This window comes from Homo sapiens, chromosome 3, assembly GCF_000001405.40.
Source record: "Homo sapiens chromosome 3, GRCh38.p14 Primary Assembly".
Classification (NCBI taxonomy): Eukaryota; Metazoa; Chordata; class Mammalia; order Primates; family Hominidae; genus Homo; species Homo sapiens.
The window spans coordinates 129467781-129490812 of record NC_000003.12 but is presented as its reverse complement, the minus strand read 5'-3'; the positions used below and the strand labels follow the sequence as shown (position 1 = coordinate 129490812).

Below are 23032 nucleotides of genomic sequence, written 5' to 3'. Positions count from 1 at the left end.
AAGACTACCTGTGTCCCAAGCTGTAGGTCTTACACATCACCCTCTAGATCTGGGTTTCCTTAAAGCGCCTTGAGAGGGCAACCCTGCAAAGCCCAGCACAGTGGCCAAGAGGGAAAGGAGCATTCGAGGTCTGAGTCCTCGCTCTGAGCCTACTTCTCTGCTTCTGGGCTCCAACCATCTTCTTTGTGGAAAGGGGCCTGCTACTGACACCCTCTCAAGGGTCTTTCTAGCTGTAGCTCAGCTGTGCTAGTGTCTAGGATTTGCCCATTAATAAATCTGTTTCCGAGTTCCTTCAACCTGACACATTTTGCAGCGTCAGGGTGCCTGGTCAGAGTCACAAGGCCCCTGAATGAGCTCAGCAGAGGGAAGCCTGGGAATAGGGAGGAACCTGCAGCTCTGCTCAGGGTCTGGCGGGAGCTCAGCAGCTCTTCTCTGCCATCTAGTGGGGATGGCTGTCCATCTCTAGGAACCACTATATCCAAGCTGGTGAGCCTGAGTGCCTGGCACAGAGTAAAGAGGTGGGGTACTCGGGATTTAGATGAAATAGTAACATCCAGCCTATCTTCAATATCATGTGGCTTTTTCAAAACAGCATGTTGTACACAATAGATATATACCACATACACTTACTTTTCAACTATAGTAAATCTGGCTGGGTGTGGTGGTTTATACCTGTAATCCCAGCACTTTGGGAGGCTGAGGCAAGAAGACTGCTTGAGCCCAGGAGTTCAAGACCTGCCTGGGCAACACAGTGAGTCCCCGTCTCAATATTTAAACAAATATATAAAAATATATATATTTATAAAAATATCAGTAAACACTCATATTAAACCTTGTGGCTTTTTACAATCCTTTCTATTCTAGGGATTTGTCGTCTCCCTCCCTGCTGGCATTTCTGGGTGGGGCAGGAGAGGGAAGCTCCCTCCATAGAGATGCCTCCTCCCTCCTCTGAATTCTTTTTTTTTTTTTTTTTTAAGTCAGAGTCTTGCTCTATGGCCCAGGCTGGAGTGCAGTGGCACCATCTCGGCTCACTGCACGCTCCGCCTCCCAGGTTCACGCCATTCTCCTGCCTCAGCCTCCGGAGTAGCTGGGACTACAGGCGCCTGCCACCATGCCCGGCTAATTTTTTGTATTTTTAGTAGAGACGGGGTTTCACCGTGTTAGCCAGGATGGTCTCGATCTCCTGACCTTGTGATCCGCACACCTCGGCCTCCCAAAGTGCTAGGATTTACAGGCGTGAGCCACCGCGCCTGGCCCCTCCTCTGAATTCTTACAGCCTCCTCCATCTCCACTTTCCTACACTGAGGACATCTAAAAATATAATCTAGATCATTGTTACACAACGATCACTTCCCTTGTTTAGTAATGGCTAGCATCTGCACAACCATCCCTGATTTAAATTCCCCTTTACAACATCTCAGTTAAGCCTCATGACTGCAGCGGGCATTCTCACCACCCCCATTTCAGAACTGGGAGGACTGGGGCTCCAAGGAAAGTGGCTGGCCTGAGGTCCCAGAGCCCCTTATGTGACACAGCTCGTTCTCAGCCAGGCTTCTTAGTCCTGGTCTGGTCCAGTCTCCTCTCTTCATGCCTACAAGTCTTGATCTAACCCAAGGCGGGCATCACGTCCCTCTTTGCCACTCCTTCAATGTCAGCCCGGGAATATGGACAAAATGAGCAGCTCATTAATTGACTGTGGGGAGATAAAGAGGGAAGGGGTAGGGGAGTGGAGGTTGGAAGCCATTCCTTCCTCCATCTGAGGTTCTAGATGGAAACACAGCTCAGGAACATACCTGGGCTTTTCCTTATGTGCAGAGAGGGGTCAGATGTTTTCAGCCATCTCTCTAGCTTTCATAGACTAGGCCAGGAAAGGACACAACGAATCAAGTCCATGAATCCCGCCATGAAGGTACGTGGGAAGTGCCCACATTGCTGTCAGAATCAGAGACCTTGACCATCTCTCCCACCTTAGTTGGCAGATGCTAAGAAAAGCAGCATTGTGTGCAGCATCATGGCCAGTGACTACACCGATAATAAAAGCCGCCATTTACGGAGTGCCTGTGATGTGCCAGGCTACTAGTCAGGTGCTTCCCACAGAGAACAGCTAATAAGAGTGACAGCCAGAATCTGACATGCTGCTCCTGGGTCAGGCTTTACAGGCATCCTCCCATTTGATCCTCACAGCTTTGTGAGGATGGGGCCTGTCATCATCCTACGTCTATAGAGAAGCAATCTTAGAAAGGGTGTCACCTACCCAGGCCCACAGTGAGGAAGTGGCTAAGATACAAGCCCAGGTCAGCCTAACTCCAGAGACTGCTGCAGTCTATGGCCTCTCCGTGCCACCTGGGTCCCCATCTGCCTTCTTAAGGGACCCCACAAGGACCAAACTCCAGCTCCTGCTGGCTAGATGCTTACCTTCTTTGCTGTTTCAAAATCTAAACCTTCTAGCGCTTCCATGGCCAGTTCACGCCAATCAGTGTCTGTGACACCCAAGCAAGCAATCTGGTAGGCTTCCTTGAACAGTTTCCTATCCAGGTACTGGTACATGGGAGCGGACTGCAGGATTTCATCAAGGGAAAAAAAGAAGACTGTTTTCAGAGCCATGGAAAGAACCAGATGCATACAGAGCCTGCCTCCAGATGCGTGGGATGATTACCCATGCCTGGGGAGCAGCCCTGCAGCCGCCAATCAGCACCCTGCCCAGCCTGCCCAGCCCACCCTGTGTGCTCCATCCTGCACCTCTCTCATGACTGGGCTACTGTGCTCCACAGCACAAACTCTCTGCCCATCCTCCCCTCCTTCCCACCTACAGGCCTGCCTCGCCATAGGATGTCACCCTCACCTGGAATGCCTTTGCCCCTCCCCACTCTGCCTCTGGAAAATACCTATTTGGCTTTCAAGGCCCTGTTGAAATGTCACCTCTTCTGCAGAGTCCTCCCAAGCCCCTCAAGCCCCCACCCCAGGGGAAAGAGTCTCAGCTTCCTCTGCCCTTTGTCCAGATCGCAGGTTGTGCCGCAGTTACAGGCCTGTTCCCACAGCAAAGCCGTGCACAGCCGTGGGCAGTGGTGGGTTGTATCGGCCTCCCTCAGCAGAACCCCAGTCTACGTTTGCTGACACAATGAATGAGTTCGTGGGAGGAAGCGGTCTGGAATGGCCTCTTCTTCCAGGGACTGAGTCCAAGAAAGGTAAGTGATTTGCTCCAAGTTACCCTGGAAGCCTCTGGAAACAGCTCTCCTGATCCCTGCCCTGGGGACAGATGCCCTCCTACAAGATGGGGTTGCCTTGCTGTGAGTGCCCATGAATAGTTCCTAACGACTTCTCTTTCTTAGGTTTATAAAAGGCTTTTGGCTGTCCCCACAGTCCTGTGCAGTAGGTATTATTTCTCCCTGGCTACAGCCCAGGAGACCGAGACTCAGAGAGGACAAATGACCTGTCCCAGCAAATAGCTGGCAATAGCCAGAGGTGACTGGACTCCAGGTTCTGTGCCCCTTCCTGCCACATGTATGCACGCGTGTATATGTGCATATGTGCGTGCAGGCCTGAGAATGAGTCTTGAGTTGGGCCATGACATCTTTAACAAGGAAAGGCCTTGCCCTTGTTTTAGGCCAGCCAGTGTGCTTCAGTGGCCTGCATCTCTCCTGGCTTCCTGGGCAGGGAAGAGAAATCAGCCAGGACCTCTGTGCTAATGGTTCCCAAATGTGGAGCTTGAAGTATTGTTTTCTCCATTTGGGGCTTTTGTCTGTCTTTGAAATTTCCAGTCCCATTTTTTAGCTTTAGAATTGAAGGAATTTTTTTTATTTTGAGTCTGTCTACTCTCAGAGCAAAACATGGCTGCTTCCAAGTGCTTATCTTTTCCACCATGCCATCTCTCCTCATTGGCACATTAAATGCTCCCTTTAGCGGGGCAGCAGGCATAGGCTACGGAGCAGGTGACCTAGAACCCAGGCCAGGCTCAGCCACATCCTAGGCTGGTGACTTTTTGGGTAAATCCATTAACTTCTGTTTAGATGTCCTGCCCAGCTCAGGCTACCATGGGCAAAGGAGAGATGTGCTCCAAAAATAATGAAGCACTGGGCAAAATGCAGGCATGATCATTACCTTCACTGTATTTTCTCAGCACCAGCTCCTCACCATCTCCCAGGCTCTCCAGTCTTGTTCCTACCCCCACCTTTCCCTTTGTTTGAAAAGCTTCCCTGCTCCACTCTTCCTTTCCAGACCTCTCAGGGCTCAGATCAAGTTTCACCATCTCCTGGAAGCTTTCTCAAACTCCTGAAAGCTTTTCTTAAAGCACACAATGAGCTTTCCTTTCTAAAGTCCGTCAGTAAGTACAGCCTGTTGCAATTTAGTTGTGTTTTGTGGTTTTTGCTATTTTATGAGTCAGTAATAAGGAGAAATAATAATAGAAATTTGGCTTGACGAAACCTGAAAGATGGGTATAATTAACCCCATTTCACAGAAAAGAAATGAGGCCCCAAAGAGTGAAATGAGTTGCTCTAGTTACAGCTGCTTGAGATGGCAGAGTCAGGACTGAAAGCTGGTGCTCCTTCCCCGAACCACACCAACTGCTTGCCATGCTGACTGCCCCGTGAGTGGGACAGGCACTCAGGCAGGCATATCACAGCTGAGCATATGATGGATGGCTAACACTTGGACTTACTTGGGAGGCACAATTTGAGTGGAGTTTTAAAAATAGACCCCACTGAACAAATACTCTCTGAGCTATACTTTATCTTGCTGTTGGATTTCAAACATGAAGTCACCACCGCCTTGAGAAGCCCTCCTAGGGCTCGTTGTCCTACTTGGCAGCCCTGACAAACCAGTTCTTGCACAAGACAATGTAAATTTCGAAAGGCAACCAAAAATTCCAAGACTGGGTCTGATGCTTTCTCCCTCCTCTCTGGGCCAAAACCACAGGATGGCCGGAGGCAGAGGCGACAGATGAACAGCCTTTGTCTTGAGAATGTGTTTCCTAACCCTTGGCAGTCCTGACCCGCTGCGTCAGCAGGATGGCCTTGGTGCAGTCAGCAAGACTTTGCTGCTGAATCTTAAAGTCCTGGCAGAGGAAGCCCCAGGCTGCCCCTCTGGCTCCTCTTGGCCGGCCACAGTCAGAGAGCAGCAAACTGCATTTATTTTTGAGGTCAGGATGGCAATCTTGGGAGAAAACCTTTTAATAAAATAAGCAGAGCTAGTTTGGGGCAATTGAGGGAGATGAGTTCCTGGTGGATGTGGTGCGTGGGTTTGTAATGGGGCAGACAAGGATGACGAGGACACAGTCCAGGAGAAGCTGTTCGTGCCCCTCGTCCTGCTGCCACTTCCACCCACCTCATTCCCTTCTTCCTCTTGCTTTCTGGTCTTTTTCCTCAGATCTGAATTCCACTAACATTTCTTGAATAGCTGATCTGTGTCAGGCATGGATGATGGGCATTTCCCCAGTAAGTCTTGCAGTCATGAGTTTCGAGGGTATCATCAACTTAGAAGAAGTGGGCTCTAGCCTGAAGCTGAGTTGTATGGGGAAAACAGACTGACAGAGCCTAGCGGAAGGGAAACCTGGAAATTTCCCTAAAAGTCTTTCAAAGGTACACGTGCTTTGACCCAGCAATTTCATTTCTAGGAATTTATGCCAAGGCGCCAAGTTGGGACAGGTGCAAGGACCTAGCTAGAAAGATGCCTGCTATTTACAATAATACAAAAAAGCTATAAGCAGCAAACATGTCCAGTAGGACTGGTAAAGAAAGCTGTGGAACATCCACAAGACACAATAAAATGCAGCTGTAAATACAAGGCAGGTGGGGACCAGGCAGGAGGGAGGGGTGCTGGCTGTAAAAAGCACAACACCAGGGACCTTGTGGTGGTGGCAGTGTTCAGTGCCATGACTGTGGTGGGAGATTACACATGCCAACATGGGTGGGAAGATCACTCTAGAGCTATGCACACTGTTACCGTTGGGGGAAACTAGGCAAAGGGTTTAAGGGATCTCTGTATTATTTCCTACAATTTATGTGAGTCTACAATTACCCTAAATTTTGCCATGCAGAATAAGAACATTTACCATTTACTGACACAGAACGATGCTTTAGGAGATTGTTGAGTGAAAAGGCCAGATGACTAGTGTACAGCCAGCACTTCATAGACAGTGATGGGGCTGCCATAACCGAATGTGAGGTGAAATGAGAAGATAGCCATAAAGGAAGGGATGAGAAGTCTTGTTTACAGGCCAGGCTCAGGGAATACAGTAAATCTGAGGTTCCATCTATAGGTAGCAATACGTATACACATAAAAGTCATGAAAAGTATTTGCAGTGTGATTCCACTTTTGTTTAAAAATGTTCTTATAAAACCACATGCTCCTAATTGTATATTATGCATATATTATATATACACGTAGAAAAGCGCTAAGCAGATGTATTTCAACATGTTTAAGAGTGATTCTGTCCTGAGGATGGGATGCTGAAGGCTACAGTTTCTCGCTATGCACGTCTCTGTTTTATGGCAATTCTACAGTGAGCACCATCTGCCTGGGGTGCAGAAGGTGGAGGGGAGACCATCCTGCATTCGGGAGGTCAATCTCAGGCGCCTGTCTGTGGTTCTGCCCTCCCCCATTCTGTGGCTCCACCCTTCAGTGCCCCATTTCTGTTCTGGCCACCTCCTGGTTCAGAGAGCTTGTGCAGAGTCCCATGCTCCCTTATTGGCTCACAGACCTCAGCCCACACCCCCCACCCACTCATTCTCTCTCTCCCCTCTCTCTCACACACACATCACCACCATCACACACGTACTCACACACACACCCTGCCGGACTCCCGGCTTTGCTGCTCACTCCATTCGGCCCCACGCTGGGCTCTCTGCAAAACACACGCTGCTGACAACACTGCATACCCCTCCCATCCCTACAGAAAGGGGACAAGGAAGAAACTGATACTCAGGGAGGTTGAGCTGTTTGCCCCCAGTCACACAGGTTGCAAGGAGTGGAGACAGGGCGGCAGGTTCCAGGCCCAGACTGCCTCCCACGACCTCACAGCTGCCATTCTTCTCTCCTTGCTACTCTCTCCCCAAAGCACCAGCAAAGGGCCCAGCTTCCCTGGTCTTGTCAGCCTTGCCAGTGCTAAGAGTGGACAGGCACCCCCAGTTACCTGCGGCACCTCCACGGCAGAAATGGAGAAGACATGGAGGCAGAAGATCTTGGAGCCATTGTAGCCGACCACAAAGCCCTGCAGCTTCTGCCGGTGCACAGGGAAGGTGCTGGCTTTGATGTTGAGGTAGCCTCCTCCCGAGAAGCAGAGCATGTCCTCACACTGGGTGTTCCAAGCTACACTGTTGGCGTTTGGTTCCTGGGGAACAGGGACAGTGGGGATCCTGTGAGAACCACCCTGGGCTTGGTCAGCGCTCACACATTTCAGCCCAATACCCTCTTAAAGACTGAATCCCACTAAATTGCTTACAGTGGGATGGAGGGAAAAGGATGAAAGGGGACCACAAAGAAATGAACAGAGGCAAGAGAAATGAACAGAGGCAAGCCCCTCCATGCACCTGCGTGTTGTTGGAATTTTTGAGTAAGCAAGTATTACTTTTGAAAAAAAATTATTCTCCTGAAATATGCTCATACCTTTCTGCCTAGGATCTTTTATAATGACTAAATCTTTTATAATCAGCATGGATTGTTTTTTATAATGAGAAAAAATCAATATAGCTGTTTTATGTGTAGAGGGAGGGGCAGTGGAGAAGAGGAAAAGCCAGCAGGCAATGTTACAGCTGGGAATGCTGATGTCTCCTGGCAGGGCTGAGAATCACCTCCCCTAGCCTGCCATAGAGCCAGCAGTGGGGATGGGGCAGCACAGACGCCCTTCCACACTTGTATGATTCTAGGCTCAGACACAAGATTCACATTTGGGGCCAGCTATGCCCCCTATAGGTGGGAGGTGAGGCTGGGGAGAAGGGAAGTAACATTTCAGGCCCCATTTTGTGCTCAACACTGAGCTAGGCACTGTAGTATCTAGTGTATTCCTGTAGCAATTCTGTAAGGGGCAATTACTAATTTCATTTTAGAGAAAAGTAATTAAGGCTCAGAGAGGCTCACTAACTTAAGATCACACAGTAAGGGATGCAGGCAGGACCCAAGCCCAGGTCAGCTTGAAGGCTATGCCCTCTCTTTCCCCGAAACCATTCTACTCTCTCAAGGACATGAGTGAGTTGAGACTGACATGGAGTTACCTCTGGGCTAGAGGTGGCCAGGTAACTCCTTCTAATTGACTGAGGCTGCTCCCCACTCCAGACCCCTCCCCCATCGATTCTGCTGCTGAGAACAAGGAGGAGCCTGGTAAGGGGACTGAATCTGCCCATAACATCAGGAAACCCTGCAGTGGCCGAGGAAACCAGTCAGGAGGGGCTCCAGCTTTGGGGGGAACTTCACTCTGGAAAACCAGTCCTGACCACCTACAAAGACCTAAAGAGAGAAAGAATGGCGCGAGCCCAGCAGAAAGCCAACCAGGCCCGGGGCACAGAGCTGCCGGGCTGTCTTCTCTGGTGACACACTTCCTCAGGCCACAGGGCTGGATGACTCCACTGAACAACGCCTACAACCCCAAAGATCCAAGCACTTCGCATTCTGCTGGCTCTTCTAGCATTCTTGTGAATTAAGTAGAAGGCCAGGCTTGCCCATCCCCTTCCCCCTTTCAGATGACAAAACATCCTGTTTCCTTCCCACGCTGTAGGTGCGCATAGACACAGGCAGGCCTGCAGCAGGTGAGACACAGACTTCTGCAAAGGAAGTGCATCCATCGCCCCATTCACTGAGTGCCAACGTCACACCCCTCTCAGAGTCATTGCCCCATTTCTTGTTCATGGTAAACGCTTAAGAAAGGCTCTGCTGGCTCAGAGCCTTCGGTTTCCATTGGCAAGGAAACCAAAGTTAAAGAGGCCGGTCCAGGCCCTGCGGCTTGTGCCTGTGTGGGAGGAGCAGGTTGTGGCCCAGGGCCTCTGGGACTCTGTGCATGTGCTTGGCCCCTGCCCCTCCCAGAGACCTGCCTGGGCCAGAGCAGGAGAGCCTCCTGCAGGGACTGGGAAGCTAGAGGAGAGTCTCTAATCAAAGGATGATGTCCCTGGGCCCCCTCAGGGACTTCACCTGAAAAAGCAGCTCCTTGGTGTCGATGTCATACACCAGGCAAGTGTCATTTTCATCTACCACGGCCAGCTTCTTACGGGAGGCACTCATGTCCAAGCAGCGCACAGCTGTGGCCTGCTTCAGCAGGACGATAGCAAAGAGATTGTCCACGAAGATCTTCAGGATCTGGCAAAATTTCAGCGAAAACAGTGTCAGTCACCATGGCAACAAGATCCTGGCCCACTGCCAGGCCGTTGGAATCCCATGTGCTCTGCAAGAACAACTCCCACCACCTTCACCAGAAGCTCTGTGCAGGGAAAAGGACTCATCAAAAGAAAGAGGGGGGTGGGGGGCAATGGCTTATCCTTAGGAGGCCAGAAGCGAGGTTCATCAGAGGCTGCAGAAGTAATGACAGCCCTGAGACAGGCCGAGCTCACTTCAGTGTCTGTTCGGACTGGGGATTTGTTGATGACATTACCCAAACTGCAGCTTTAGGAGATGCCACCTAGCAGAGATCTGAGTCACGAACTAACACAGGAAAAAGCTACTATGAACACTGACAAGACATGTGGTAGAAAATTATAATAATGATGATAGTGATCATGATAGCTATCATTTACTGATATCCCTGGTTTAAAAAAAATTTTTTTTAGAGATAAGGTCTTGCTATGTTGCCCAGGCTGATCGCAGTGGCTATTCACAGGTATAATCATATCACACTGCAGCCTCAAACTCCTGGGCTCAAAGTGATCCTCCTATCTCAGCCTCCTGAGTAGCTGGGAAAACAGGTACCCTCCACCATGCCTGTTTTAATACCCCTGGTGTTTTTTTTGTTTTGTTTTGTTTTTAACATTGGCTTTAACTCCCAACCCTGATGATATCTGTTTTTGACAGCCCTATGAAATATGTGGTATTATCCTCATGTAAAACCAGCCTCACAGAGGTAAAGTGACCTGCCCAGGATGACAAAGCCAGTGAGTAGCTAAGTAAGAACACGACCTCCGGCCCACCTGACCCCATAGTCCATGCTCCCATTGGAAGTGAGAGCTGCCTGAGAAATAAGCGGCCCTTCCTCCCCTTGGCATTGCTGCTTGACTTCACCCACTGCTCTCATGCCCTGTGACTTCCATCCCCAGCAAAGACCTGACAAGCCTCAGCCATAAGCCATCTGCTGCACAGCTTGGCTGTCAGGCTAATGCAGCTACATTGTCACTTTCAAAGTTCCATGTAGCAGCCTACTTAGAACTTTTCTTATGCTGAGCAAAGAACACACGTGTACACATGTATACACACACACAGAATTTTGTGTAACCTGGATATCCCACATCTAACTGGCCAAAGGGCCCATTTTGCTTATGACATCTATCAGTATCTTGAGGACCCAGCATTCTTTAGGACACATGCTGGAACGCACTGCCTTAATCCACTCGCTGCCCTAATCAGGAGCTGACCTAGGTAACGATCTCTGCCTCCCTCTAGAAATCCACAGAAGCAACATCTCTAACAAATCTCCCACCTTCTGGAGACCTTAAGCCACTAATACACTCTACATGTAGCCAAAGGTTATAGCTCAACTCTGCCAAAACGTGGGCCTGCTAGGAGTGTGAGGGCCACAGCACCTTTGGCCTGAGGCTGTCCTCAAAAAACTGAACTCAGGCTGCCCCACAATTCACCCATGGAGGAGAGAAGCCCTTTTCCTGCCCTGAGAACCCAGCTCAGAGTCATTGCTAGACGGGTCACCCACGTGTGCATGCAGATTATCAGCCTGACAGGAGACGTGAGGGAGCACTCACCTGTCCATTCTTCAGCCCCACTAAGAGGCCTTCTCTTCCAGGAGGGCCACCGATCACCTTGATGTAACGAATGAGAGACTCCATCTGCCACTCCCGCTCCTTCACTCCGCTGAAGGACAGGCACTGCAGCCGTTTCTCCTAGGAAGCAAACCCAGCTCTGCATGGAAATTCAACAGAATAAGTGCCCCCAGACCTCCCCAAGGAGATCTTTCTGTCCCTAAGGGGAGAAAATACCTACACATTCAGTATCCATCTATCTAACCCAATGTAGACCCCACGATTGGCATCGTTAATCCAAGACTCCATGCAAGGCTTCCCCACGGAGCCCAATTCAGCCTCAGATCTTCAATGCAAACCCCCACCCAGGCAGCCTAGGCCAGAGGCAGCACTCAAAAGTACACATACTTGCCACATCTATCCTGTAATTTGTAGCAACCCTAAACCGCTTGGAGTTCTAACTTTGATTATTTATTTATTATTTGTTTTTGAGACAGAGTCTCACTCTGTCACCCAGGCTGGAGTGTAGTGGCGCTATCATAGCTCACTGCTGCCTCCAATTTCTGGCTAAAGCAATTCTCCTGCCTCAGCCTCCCAAGTAGCTGGGACTACAGGCAAGCGCCACCACACCCAGCTAATTAAATAATTTTTTTTTTTTTTTTTTTTTTTTGGTGGAGATGGGGTCTCTGTTTTCTAGACTGCTTTCGAACTACTAGCCTCAAGCAATCATCCTGCCTTGGCCTCCCAAAGTGCTGGGATTTACAGGCATGAGCCACTGCACCCAGCCCAGTTCTAGGCTTTTGAGAGATTTTAATAGTATTTTACACTACAGTGATTCCTAAGGAATTCTTCTCTTTTATCACCTCCAACAGAACTATGTAAAACTAAATCCACCTCTACTTCCAAGATGCTGGGCTAGCCTTCTCTCAAAGTCTTTCCAAACTTCTCTTGGCATTGACTTAGACACTCTCTAAGAATCTTGAGAAATATTTTTCTATGAAAAAAAATCTTTCAGGAATTAAAACTTCCTTGACAATTACTGAGTTGATACAAATTTTATGTGTATATGCTTATCAATAAAAACTATCTTCATTCTGTACACCAATTTATGTTTTAAGTCATTAAAGTATATCTAATCCCAGTATGACAAGATGTTCTGCAATAGAACAAGGTATTCTTGGCTAGACACAGTGGCTCACACCTATAATCCCAGTACTTTAGGAAGCTGGACAGGTCTCAAACTCCTGGGTTCAAGCATTCCTCCCGCCTTAGCCTCCCAAAGTACAGCCTCGCGTCTCTACTAAAAATAAAAAATTAGTTGGGTGTGGTGGCATGTGCCTGTGGTGCCAGCTACTCAGGAGGAAGACCGCTTGAGCTTGGGAGGTCAAAGCTGCAGTGAGCCATAATTGTGCCACTGCATTCCAGCCTGGGCAACAGAGCAAGACCCTGTCTGTCTCAAGAAAAATATTTTTTAAAAAATAATAAAATAAAACAAAAAAACATTCTCCAGTTTATGGCTCATGACTTGCTGATAGAGTCTGGTTCATCCAGATGCCAGGAAAATGAAAGCCAATAAGCACCACTTAGTTTGATGGAACAGACTTGTTTTCTAGTGACCAGTTTTAAAACCATGAGGTGGGCACCCTATCACTGGGGGGGGAGCACAAATGGAATTCAGCCCAACTCCTTCAACATGCTGCTGCCCACCTGGCACAGGATGATGTGATTGGCACACACCACCAGGAGGTTGCACTCAAACTTCTTGATAATCTTCTCCTTTACCCGGTAATGCATGTCTGATAAGTCCTCTGAATACAACTCATAGATGAGGATTTTCTCTGGCAGTTGGATAGCCAATCGATTTCTGTAGATGGCAATCTTCTTGACAAGCTCTTTGCATTTAATCCGAACTGTCAAAGAAAAAAATATCTAGTTCTAGCAAGAGGTTGTTATGTAAGGTGCAAGGCAGAGAAATTAAAAGCCATCATTTACTTAGCGCTACTGGCAATTAAAGTGAGATACTCTCATTGAAAAATCTTTAGAGTATCTAATACATACAATCAACTCTGCTGAACCCTGGGATCCAAAGTCCTATAGGACACAATCTTCATGGTCCAAGGCTGACAACTGAGTATGGAAATAAACTACTCACTGTTACCATCACTTGCTGGATACAAATATAAACTCCTCTGCACAGCACTAGTGGCCCCCGGTGATCAGAAGCCTGCCTAAGTAACTGACCTCACCTCTGGCCGCTCCCTGCCCACCTCCTTGACAAACGGGGAAGACATGTAATTTCTGGTACACACCAGGCTCTACACTCCCACTACAGACCAGGTGGAGAAAATGTCCCTAAGGGGGACACTGTGAAGCTGCCCAAGGGGCTTTGCCCCAACCACCACAGCCAGAATCTTCAAAAAGATAGGGTCCCCCAGGGGGACCAAAGGACACTCATCTGAATCTACAAGACAACCCCCAACCTGGATCCCTTGCAAAGGCACCTAGCAGTGCACTAAGGCCAGCACATCCAGATATGAATACACCTGAAGTAAGTGGATTGAGTCTATTTAACCAGCACAGCAACTTAAGTGGACAGAGGGAGAGACTGCAGTCTTAGGGCTTAGAATGACTATGCGAGGCCGGGAACTCTGATCTTCTGACCTAGCCTGTGCCAATCCAATTCCACTGCTCATCTCTGGCAGAAGGACCCACCAGGAGGCAAGTGGAGACAGGGCTGAGGGAGAAGCACCCCAGAGTGACTCTGACCAGAAAGGATAAAGGTCCACGAAGACCCATGCAGGTCAACCACCTGGCTCCAACCTGTCATAAATCATCCTCCCTCACTAAGGAAATTCATGTACTCCTTGAAATTATGTGCAAAATTCTGAGTTGGTACATTTTTCAGAGAGGATTTATTGCTTTCATGAGATCCTCAAGGAGACTGGCATCCCTACTTCCCCCACCAAAAAAAAAAAAAAAAGAAAACAAGACACAGACCCAGTGGCTAACAGGTTTGCAAAACGCCAAAGAGAAACCTTTTCCTGTCATTTCAAGTGCCCTGTCACCAGCCCTTTCCACCTGCTTCCACCTGTCCCTCTTCCCAAGGTCTGGACCTGCCTCTTACCTTTCTGCTCAGTGATCAGGTGCTGCACAATGACGTCAGTCATGCTATCCCTGTAGGCATAGCGGTCCTTGTAAAGCCCATGGACTGTGCTGAAAATAAGCTGGTAGAAGGAAATGGTGCCGTCCTGGCAGCCGACCACCTGCGGGGTGAGAGAACTGTCAATTCCCAGCTCTCTGGAGAAAGTCTGCATTCCCCCATTTGTCAGACACAAACCCCAGTGATGTGACTCGAGACACGGCGGCTGCTCAGTGCCTCTTCAAGCCATGGCCCCACAGAACAAACTTTCTCTTCTTACCACATAGTTGGAATCCGGTTTCGCTTGACACGTCCACACCCAGGAGTTCTGCTCCCCAACAGTCCCAAGCCGCACTCCATCCTTGGTGAAAAGAGATACTTGCTTGTCTGAACCCCCCAGCAAAATGTACTCGCCTTTAGTAAAGTAGCTGATGCAGCAGGGGTCAAAGTTCAGTGCCCGATCCTTTCCAATCTGAGGAAAAAGAACACACAGCAAGGGAAAAACCATTTCCGAATCCATAACCATTGCAATACAATTAAGGGCTTTTTCTCGCCAACTTTAGAGGGAGTTGGGAAGACAGGGAGAGCTGGCCAGCCTTTTCTCCTGTGTCATCCCATGGTGAACACAGGCCTCTCTGCCTCTGCATCTCCCTACTCATCCTCTACACAGCCCAAACCTCAGCTCCTGGAGTCAGTGGCACCTCCCCTAGTCCCACCCAAGTGCTCCAGGAGTGCAGGAGTGTGTCAGGGCTCCTCCGCCAAGATGGAGACTGTGGGTGGTTTTGTTCCCAAAGGCCCCCCTCCCTCTGCAAATATAGTTCTTCCTATAGTTCAATGGGTTCCCTCAGCTTCTTTTCTCCGCCTTTTTAAAAAAGTATTTTATAAAGCTGAGTTTATTCAGTTTAAAGACTGTCCTTTATTCTGCAACTACACCCATACTACTTCTCTTCATTTTTTAATTCTTGTTTATTTCAAGATGGGGTCTCACTCTGTCACCCAGGCTGGAGTGCAGTGGTGCAATTACGGCTCACTGCAGCCTTCAACTCCTGGACTCAAGCGATCTTCCTGCCTCAGCCTCCTAAGTAGCTGGGACCATAGGTGAGTGCCACCATGCCTGGCAAAAAATTTTTTTTTTGAAAAAGGGTCTGACTCTGTTGCCCAGGCTGGAGTGCAGTGGCGCCATCTTGGCTTACTGCAACCTCCACTTCCCAGCTTCACGTGATCCTCCTACCTCAGCCTCCCAAGTAGCTGGGACTACAGATGTGTGAGAACACGCCTGGCTAATTTTTGTATTTTTTGCAGAGACGGTGTTTCTCCTTGTTGTCCCGGCTAGTCTCAAACTCCTGAGCTCAGATGATCCACCCACCTTGGCCTCCCAAAGTGCTGGGATTACAGGAGTGAGTCATAGCTCCTGGCCTATATTTTTTTATTTTTAAACTCTACGTTGAACCTTTTTTAGGAACTGCTACACTTTTCAAGTGAATGCACCACTTTATATTTGCATTAGCAGTGTATGAGGATTCCAATTTCTCCATTTTAGTGAGTGCGAATTATCTCATTGTGGTTTCAATTTGCATTTTCCTGATGGCTAATGATATGGAGCATCATTTCATGTGCTTATTGGCCACAGAGAAATGTCACACTCTGTGGCTTAGGCTGGAATGCAGTCGTATGATCATAACTCAATGCAACCTTGAACTTCTGGGCTCAATTCCTCTGCCTCAGCCCCTCACCACCCCCAGTAGCTGGGACTAGAGGCATATACCACCACACTCAGCTAATTAAAAATATATTTTTTTAGAGGTGGGGTCCCACTGTTACCCAGGTTGGTCCTGAACTCCTGTTCTCAAGTGATCTCCCTGTCTCTGCCTCCCAAAGCACTGGGATTACACGTGTGAACCACCATGCCCAGCCCTGTCTTTATAGCTCTTTATATATTCCAGATACAAGTCCTTTATCAGATATATGAGTTGTAAAACTTCTCTCATTCTGTGGGTTGTCTTTTCTCTTTCTTGATGGTGCTTCCTCAGCTTCTAGGATGCAGGTCAAACTCCCGAGCTCAGCCCCCAAGGTCATTCTCTCAGCCAAAATGAACTTGTAAGTTTCCTAAGCGGGCAATGCTTTTTCAGGCCTCCACATCCTCACAGGTGCTACACTCCACACCATTCCTAGACCCAGCCAGGAATGCTCTTTCCCTCACTTTGTCTGCCAGGTGTCATCTCCTCCAGGAACATCTCCAATCCCCATCCCCTCATCCTCCCACAGCACTTGTGCTCGCCTATCCCATTGCACTTCTCTCGTTGTCTGTAGACACAGGGTTAATCAGGTCTGCCCCACTAAAGCCCAAGTTCCTTATTACCACTGGAGTTTTTTGCTGCCCCAAGGGTGTCTTTTGTGAATAAAAAGACGATTTGTGATTAACATTATTAAACTAATATTCAATTTATAAAAGAAATAACTTTAGGGAACTGGTTTCTCCTTAAGTTCTTAAGTTCAATTTACAAATATTTTCCTATTTATAAATCTAGTTAAAGTGAACAGCCAATTGACTTTGACTGTTTAAGGCATCCAATTTTGAACAGATTATAAAATCCCTTAAATATCCAGTCCCATTTAAAACTTAGTTAAATTAATTCCCTTACACCAATTTAAACTGCAATTATAAGTTTAATACATTCAAATTTCCTTTCCTGTATAGGAATTTCAAATGCCTAGCAACGAAAACTTTCCCTAGCACTTATCTGATGCTAGAAAACCTAACAAGAAAACTAAAAATTCTTATGAATCACGACATGGAAGGCTAGCAGCTTCTGGAAATGGCTCACTAGTTCCCATCGGACCAATCTTCCCACAAAGTAACAACAATAAACTCTGGACCAACTATAAACAACAACCATTTCAGGGCGACCAAAAGCAGGCAGAAACTGAAGACACATGCACATTTAGAAGAAGGGAACAAACACTAGGTGAACTTCTCATTTTTTTAAGGGTTTTTGCCTGAGGGCAGCCCTCTTCACCATCATGCTGGGTGAGTATAGAATTTGGGAGGACCACAGCACCCGGAAAGTGAAGTGGGAAATCCCAGAAAAGAGAAGCAAAGTAAGAGCTTAAATTCTGCACATAAACTCCACTGAATATCTGGAAACCCTTGAACTATAAACTGTGACAAGATGCCAAGCAGCCTAGCTACAGCTAAAGAACTGCACAGAGATGTCAGCTGCTGACACCACTGAAAACATGGAGTTTTGATTTTGAGCCCAGCAAAGTAAACTGCCTGCTTAAACATATATACACACAAACATACACAATAATCTTCAGAGGAACATGATGGATATGAGTCTTTATGACATATTACTCACAATATTGAGTACAATTCAAAATTCCCCAAAGCAGGAAAATGTGAACCATATTCAAGGGAAAAAAATCAATGGAGACTGAACCATGACGACCCAAATGTTAGAAATAGCAGATAAGAATTTTTGTTTGCTTTTTGGGCACAGGTCTTGCTCTGTCACCCACACTGGAGTGCAGTGGTAAGAGTTCACTGCAGCCTTGAACTCCTCAGCTTGAGAATACTCCCACCTCAGCCTACAGAGTTGTTAGGACAATGGGTGCCTGCCACCTCCCTGGCCAATTTGTTTGTTCGTTTTTAGGGATGGAGTCTCTCTATGTAGCCCAGGCTAGTCTTGAACTCCTGGCCTCAAGCAATCGTCCCTCCTTGGCCTCCAGAAGTACTAAGATTACAGGCATGAGCCACCATGCCCAGCTGCAGATGAGAATTTTAAAACAGTTATTATAACTATGATTAAGGCTATAAAGAAAAATACGCTTGTAATGAATAAAAAGGAAAAAAGAACCAAATGGAAATTCTAGAAAAGGAAAAATGCAATAATAACTGAAACAAATACACACTGAATGAGCTTAAGAAAAATATTGGAAGTTGCAGAAGAGTCAATGAAATTTAATACTGAACAACAGAAATCCTCTAATCTGAAGATCAGAGGGAAAAGAAGGGATTTAAAAAAATAATAACAGGGCCTCGATGACTTGGAGAACAGTAACAAAAGGTCTAATGTAAGTGTAATTAGAGTTCCAGAGGAAAGGAAAGAATGGAGAAGAAGAAATATTTCAAGAAATCATGGCCAAAATGTTTTCACATTTGGTGAAAGACAGAACGATATCAATGTGTAGATTCAAAAAGCTCAGTGAACACCAAGAAGAAAAATGTAACAAATTGCTTAAGCATTCCAATATTGCTTAGGAACCTTAAATAATATACACTTTAAATATAATTCTTATCTTTCCACTTAAAATCAGAAGTAGGCCAGATATGGTGGCTCACACCTGTATTCCCAGCAGTTTGGGAAGCCAAGGCAGAAGAATCATTTGAGCCCAGGAGTTTGAGACCAGCCTGGACAACATAGGAGACCCTATCTCTACCAAAAAAAAAAAATTTTTTTTTTTAATTAGCAGGATGTGGTGGCATGTGCCTGTAGTCCCAGCTACTTGGAAGGCCAAAGTGGGAAGATTCCTTGAGCCCAGGGGGATCAAGGCTGCAGTGAACCATGATCATACCACTGCACTCCAGCCTGGGTAACAGGGTGAGGCCTTTTCTCAAAAAGTAAATAAAATCAGACATATGAAATTACTCAATACAACTTTTGAATGGTCATTGCAAGACTAATCTGATAGACATTCTAATATGGATTCTGGCACCAGTATGCCTGGGTTTCAGCAGGGTGGACCACAGACTAAATGTGTGCCTTTGGGCAAATTATTGAGCCTCTCTGTGCTTCAATTTTCGTACATGTAAAATGGTGATGATAACAGTATTTACCTCATAGGGTTGTTATAAGGATTAAAAGAGTTAATCCTTGTAAAGAGTTTATATAATGCCTGGAATTCAATAAATGTTAGCTATTATTATTATTAAGCCAGATCCCCTTAAGTATTACTAACACTTCAAATGACAAAAATACACAAATTATACCTCAGACTAACACAAAAGTATGGGTTTGATTTACTTCATCATCCTATATTGAATTCTAAATCTTCCTAGATTGGGAAGGGAAGACACCCAGCAAGAAAACAATTTTACTGTCCCAAACAAGTTGGGGTTACCATCTCAGCAGGTTAAGGTTGCTCATCGTGCAGAAACTTTGGGCCACAACATGAGCTCTGGGGCTGCATACATGCAAGATATTTCCTGTGGCCCTCGGCCATGTTGAGCTCTTTTCTTCTGTGGCCATAGCAACAAGACCCCATTCCCTCCCACTGCAGTGTGGTTATTTGTTCCCAAGAGTCTTCAGTACCCACATCCAGTGCCTCGTACACAGTAGGTGTGCCAATAAGTATCTGTTGAATGATGATGTACACACATTAAGCAGATGAATAGAGAGGGCCAGGGAAACTAGATGATAGTTAATTAAAATGAGAGTTTTAGGAAATCAGCCATGGGAAACTGAGAAAATACTTCATTATCTGCTCCCTTTATCTTTTCTTTACTCGAATACAAAAGAAATGACCAATGGTAAGGCAGGGGTAGAAGAAATGGCCCAAAAGCTGGGCTACACACATCTAAAACTCTTCCCTCTTACATGACATGTTTTGAGGAATAAGGATGCTACGCAATTAAAGGCTTCACTGCACAGGTTGCATTTCTCACTTGCTTGGCTGTGGTGTGAAATCTGTACCCAGCACCTTTACTCTAATCCTTGGCATTTCCTGCCTACTAATAAGTCATCCTACTACCATGCTCTCTATATTTTAATCCACCCTCCATGGAAACAAGTTATTCTTCTGAAGCAAGAATCTGTGATGCCACTTCCTGCCACCTATGGCTCCTGAATACTTACAGTATATGATGTTCAAACTTCTTATTCACACTACTCAGGTCCTTTATAATCACATCTCCAGCCAGGCGTGGTGGCAGCTCATGCCTGTAATCCCAGCACTTTGGGAGACTGAGGCAGGTGGATCACCTGAGGTCAGGAGCTTGAGACCAGCCTGACCAACATGGAGAAACCCCGTCTCTACTAAAAATACAAAATTAGCCGGACATGGTGGCACATGCCTGTAATCCCAGCTACCCAGGAGGCTGAGGCAGGAGAATCTCTTGAACCCGTGAGGCAGAGGTCGCAGTGAACCGAGATTGAGCCATTACACTCCAGCCTAGGCGACAGAGTGAGACTCTGTCTCAAAACAAACAAACAAAAAATCATAGGCCGGGCGTGGTGGCTCATGCCTGTAATCCCAGCACTTTGGGAGGCTGAGGCGGGCGGATCACGAGGTCAGGAGATTGAGACCATCCTGGCTAACACAGTGAAACCCCGTCTCTACTAAAAATACAAAAAATATTAGCCAGGCGTGGTGGTGGGCGCCTGTAGTCCCAGCTACTCAGGAGGCTGAGGTAGGAGAATGGCGTGAACCCAGGAGGCGGAGCTTGCAGTGAGCCAAGACTGAGCCACTGCACTCCAGCCTGGGCCACAGAGTGAGACTCCATCTCGAAAAAAATTAAAAATAAATAAATAAATAAATAAATAAATAAAAAATCATACCCCCATGTTCCTCTTCAGCTCTGTTTTCAGGTCACAAACTCTGAGATGCAGTCACCCTGTACAACTCACCATTCTCTGAACTGTCATATATTTTCATTCCTTCCTGCCTTGATACATGCTATTTTTTTTTCTGCCTGAAACACCATTCCCAATGTCCTTAGCCTAACTCAAAGATGGCCTGCTCAAAGATAACCTCTAACAAGACCTCCCATCTCTACCAAGTAGTGATGTTACCCTCTTTTGTGTCCCAAAAAGCTGTCTATCTGTACAGCTTTCTATTGTGTCACATACCACACCACACAGGGGCTCTTTGCTATCAAGTGTGTCTCCGCCAGCCTGTGAGCTCTTGCAGGTAGAGGCTATCACTTTCCCAGCTCTATGTCAGCAGCTCCTTTATGAAAGGGCTTTCCTGAGTGGGTACTCATAAATACTGGTTGAATGAAAGAAAGCGAATAGAGGAAAGTAAGGTCAAAATTAAGAGCTAGATTTTAAAGTCAAACCAACCTGGGTTTAACTCCTAGGCTCCACCATTTACTAGCTGTGTGAGATCTTGGGCATATAATTTCACTGCTCTGAGTTCTGGTTTACTCATTTCTAAAAAGTTGATAAGGAAAGTAGTACCCACTTCATTGGGTTTTATAAGAATAAAATAGGATAAAGTATGCAAAGCAGTGAGCACAGTATCTGGTACCACAGCAAATGCTCAATAAGCAGGAACTAACAATGATAATGTATAATTAATAGTAACAGAATCTCAGAAAATGAAAATATAACAGGCATGACTGCAATTGGATTTGTACAGGGCTACATACCTGTTTTCCACTCAGCTGGTAGAAGGAAACTTTCTGTCCCCAGTCAGCCACAGCCAGGATGTCATTACGTTCCTCTCTAATCAACAGAAGATAAAAGAGGTTATGAAGGGCCACAGCCTGCTGATGAGTATAGCTCTAAGGGCTTAAACAACAGGAACAAGGAAGTCCTGGCCTCAGGTTGCCAAATGTTGTACAGCTTTACTGAAGCCAAAAGTTATAATTTGGCCCAACCCATCAATCAGTCTTACGGGATGAAGCAGAGTTGAGGTTCAGCCTTCCTGGGATCTGCTGTTTCACTGAGTCCCCTGCTATGACCTTATGGTGCTGGGGACACTGCTGCAGCTGAAGAAGATAAACCTCTCATTTCAGAGCTTACTGGGGAGCAACACTAAGATAGGCAAGGCTGCAATATTGAGACTGCTTTTCTCTTACATACTAGAAAATGTGGGGAGATGGCAGAGAAACATCTCTTGCAGCACAAAGACATTTTTTAATAGAAGGGAAACTTGCTTGCTCTTCCTGAAGAAAGAAAATTAACACCTAAAAATAGGTTCTCCTGCAGGCGGGGGTCCTTGCACAGGTGAAATGGTTTCTGACTGAATCTAATTTTCAAAAAAGAGCAATGGGCTCTGAAAACAAACAACTGTCTTTGAAACTGAGAACCTATGGGGATCAGTGCTGTGGGGCTGGGACTGTAGGACCAGCACACAGGAGAAACTCCCTTGCCTGAGGCTGGAGAGCAAGCTACCTGGGAATCTAGTTCAAGAGAAAAGCGGCAGCCCGTGATGGCTCACGCTTGTAATTCCAGCACTTTGGGAGGTTGAGGCAGGTGGATCACCTGAGGTCAGGAGTTCTAGACCAGCCTGGCCAACATGGGGAAACCCTATCTTTACTGAAAATGCAAAATTAGTTCGGCGTGGTGTCGCGTGTCTGTAATCCCAGCTATTCCAGAGGCTGAGGCACAAGAATCGCTTAGAACCCGGGAGGCGGAAGTTGCAGTGAGCCGAGATCGTGCCACTGCACTCCAGCCCAGGTGACAGAGCCAGACTCTGTCACAAAAAAAAAAAAGAAAAGCATTCCTAGCCCTTGAGGCTGGGTCTTAATCCACCTAATGTTGCCTCTTTGTTTATTAATTCCAGCTTTTCTGATCCCAGTGTCTTGTGGTAACCTGGTAGCACCACTGGATATGTAGGCAGGCAAGGTAAAGCCTTGTTTGTAAAACCCAGCCAAGAGTGGCAAATGTCATAGGCACTAACCCAAAACTAAGGGAAAAGAGACAAAGACCGAGAGGGATGTTAATGAGGGAGCCTGCAGATGACCTTTGTGTGACTGGCACTGATGTCCAAAGTCCAAACACAATCCAGGAGCCCAGCCCACCAGTGAGCCCTCTTGGGGAGGCCACATATGGCTCTGGGCTGGGCTCAGTCCCTGTGAGATGGATCAGTGATTTTCAACCCCCTTTTACCTCCTGGGGCAGTAGGATTCTTTATGAAACAAAAACTCATGTTGAAACAATCAAAGGCACTGAGATGGGGACCCAAAGCCATACCTTCCTCCTTTACTGGTCCCCACTTCCCAGCCCCCATGACCTCAGGGTGGGATTCTTCCAAGGAAACTCAGGTACTATGTAAAACAGT

General features: G+C 47.0%; 1 protein-coding gene across 26 annotated transcripts in view, besides 4 other annotated features; it reads right to left on the bottom strand.

The window, feature by feature from the left end:
- The window catches only part of IFT122 (intraflagellar transport 122), an 80284-nt gene that overhangs the window by 29695 nt on the left and 27557 nt on the right, over positions 1-23032 (bottom strand). For 25 of the 26 annotated variants that reach the window (NM_001280545.2, NM_052985.4, NM_001280541.2 and 22 more), the window contains 8 exons: positions 21396-21471; positions 14307-14498; positions 14012-14150; positions 12595-12797; positions 10891-11028; positions 9119-9283; positions 7131-7328; positions 2416-2556 (listed from right to left, as the gene is read on the bottom strand). In NM_001280545.2, coding sequence (NP_001267474.1) covers positions 2416-2556; positions 7131-7328; positions 9119-9283; positions 10891-11028; positions 12595-12797; positions 14012-14150; positions 14307-14498; positions 21396-21471 — 1252 coding nt within the window. Of the gene's footprint in view, positions 1-2415; positions 2557-7130; positions 7329-9118; positions 9284-10890; positions 11048-12594; positions 12798-14011; positions 14151-14306; positions 14499-21395; positions 21472-23032 lie in introns of those variants that run through there. The other variant, XM_047448554.1, reaches the window with a different exon arrangement.
- Positions 233-527: an enhancer, noted in NCBI's record as "tiled region #10640; HepG2 Activating DNase matched - State 5:Enh, and K562 Activating DNase unmatched - State 12:CtcfO". NCBI's record gives its function as "activates a minimal TATA promoter and a strong SV40 promoter by Sharpr-MPRA in HepG2 and K562 cells {active_cell/tissue: HepG2 | K562}" and the evidence as "EXISTENCE:reporter gene assay evidence [ECO:0000049][PMID:27701403]".
- Positions 451-520: a silencer, noted in NCBI's record as "silent region_14725". NCBI's record gives its function as "represses an Ori minimal core promoter by ATAC-STARR-seq in GM12878 lymphoblastoid cells {active_cell/tissue: GM12878}" and the evidence as "EXISTENCE:reporter gene assay evidence [ECO:0000049][PMID:35858748]".
- Positions 927-1135: a silencer, noted in NCBI's record as "fragment chr3:129208521-129208729 (GRCh37/hg19 assembly coordinates)". NCBI's record gives its function as "represses an EF-1alpha promoter that drives an FKBP-Casp9 reporter gene in an ReSE screen in K562 erythroleukemia cells {active_cell/tissue: K562}" and the evidence as "EXISTENCE:reporter gene assay evidence [ECO:0000049][PMID:32094911]".
- Positions 8617-9494: an enhancer, noted in NCBI's record as "H3K27ac-H3K4me1 hESC enhancer chr3:129200162-129201039 (GRCh37/hg19 assembly coordinates)". NCBI's record gives its function as "activates a minimal SCP1, AML or CMV promoter by ChIP-STARR-seq in naive H9 embryonic stem cells {active_cell/tissue: H9 hESC(naive)}" and the evidence as "EXISTENCE:reporter gene assay evidence [ECO:0000049][PMID:30033119]".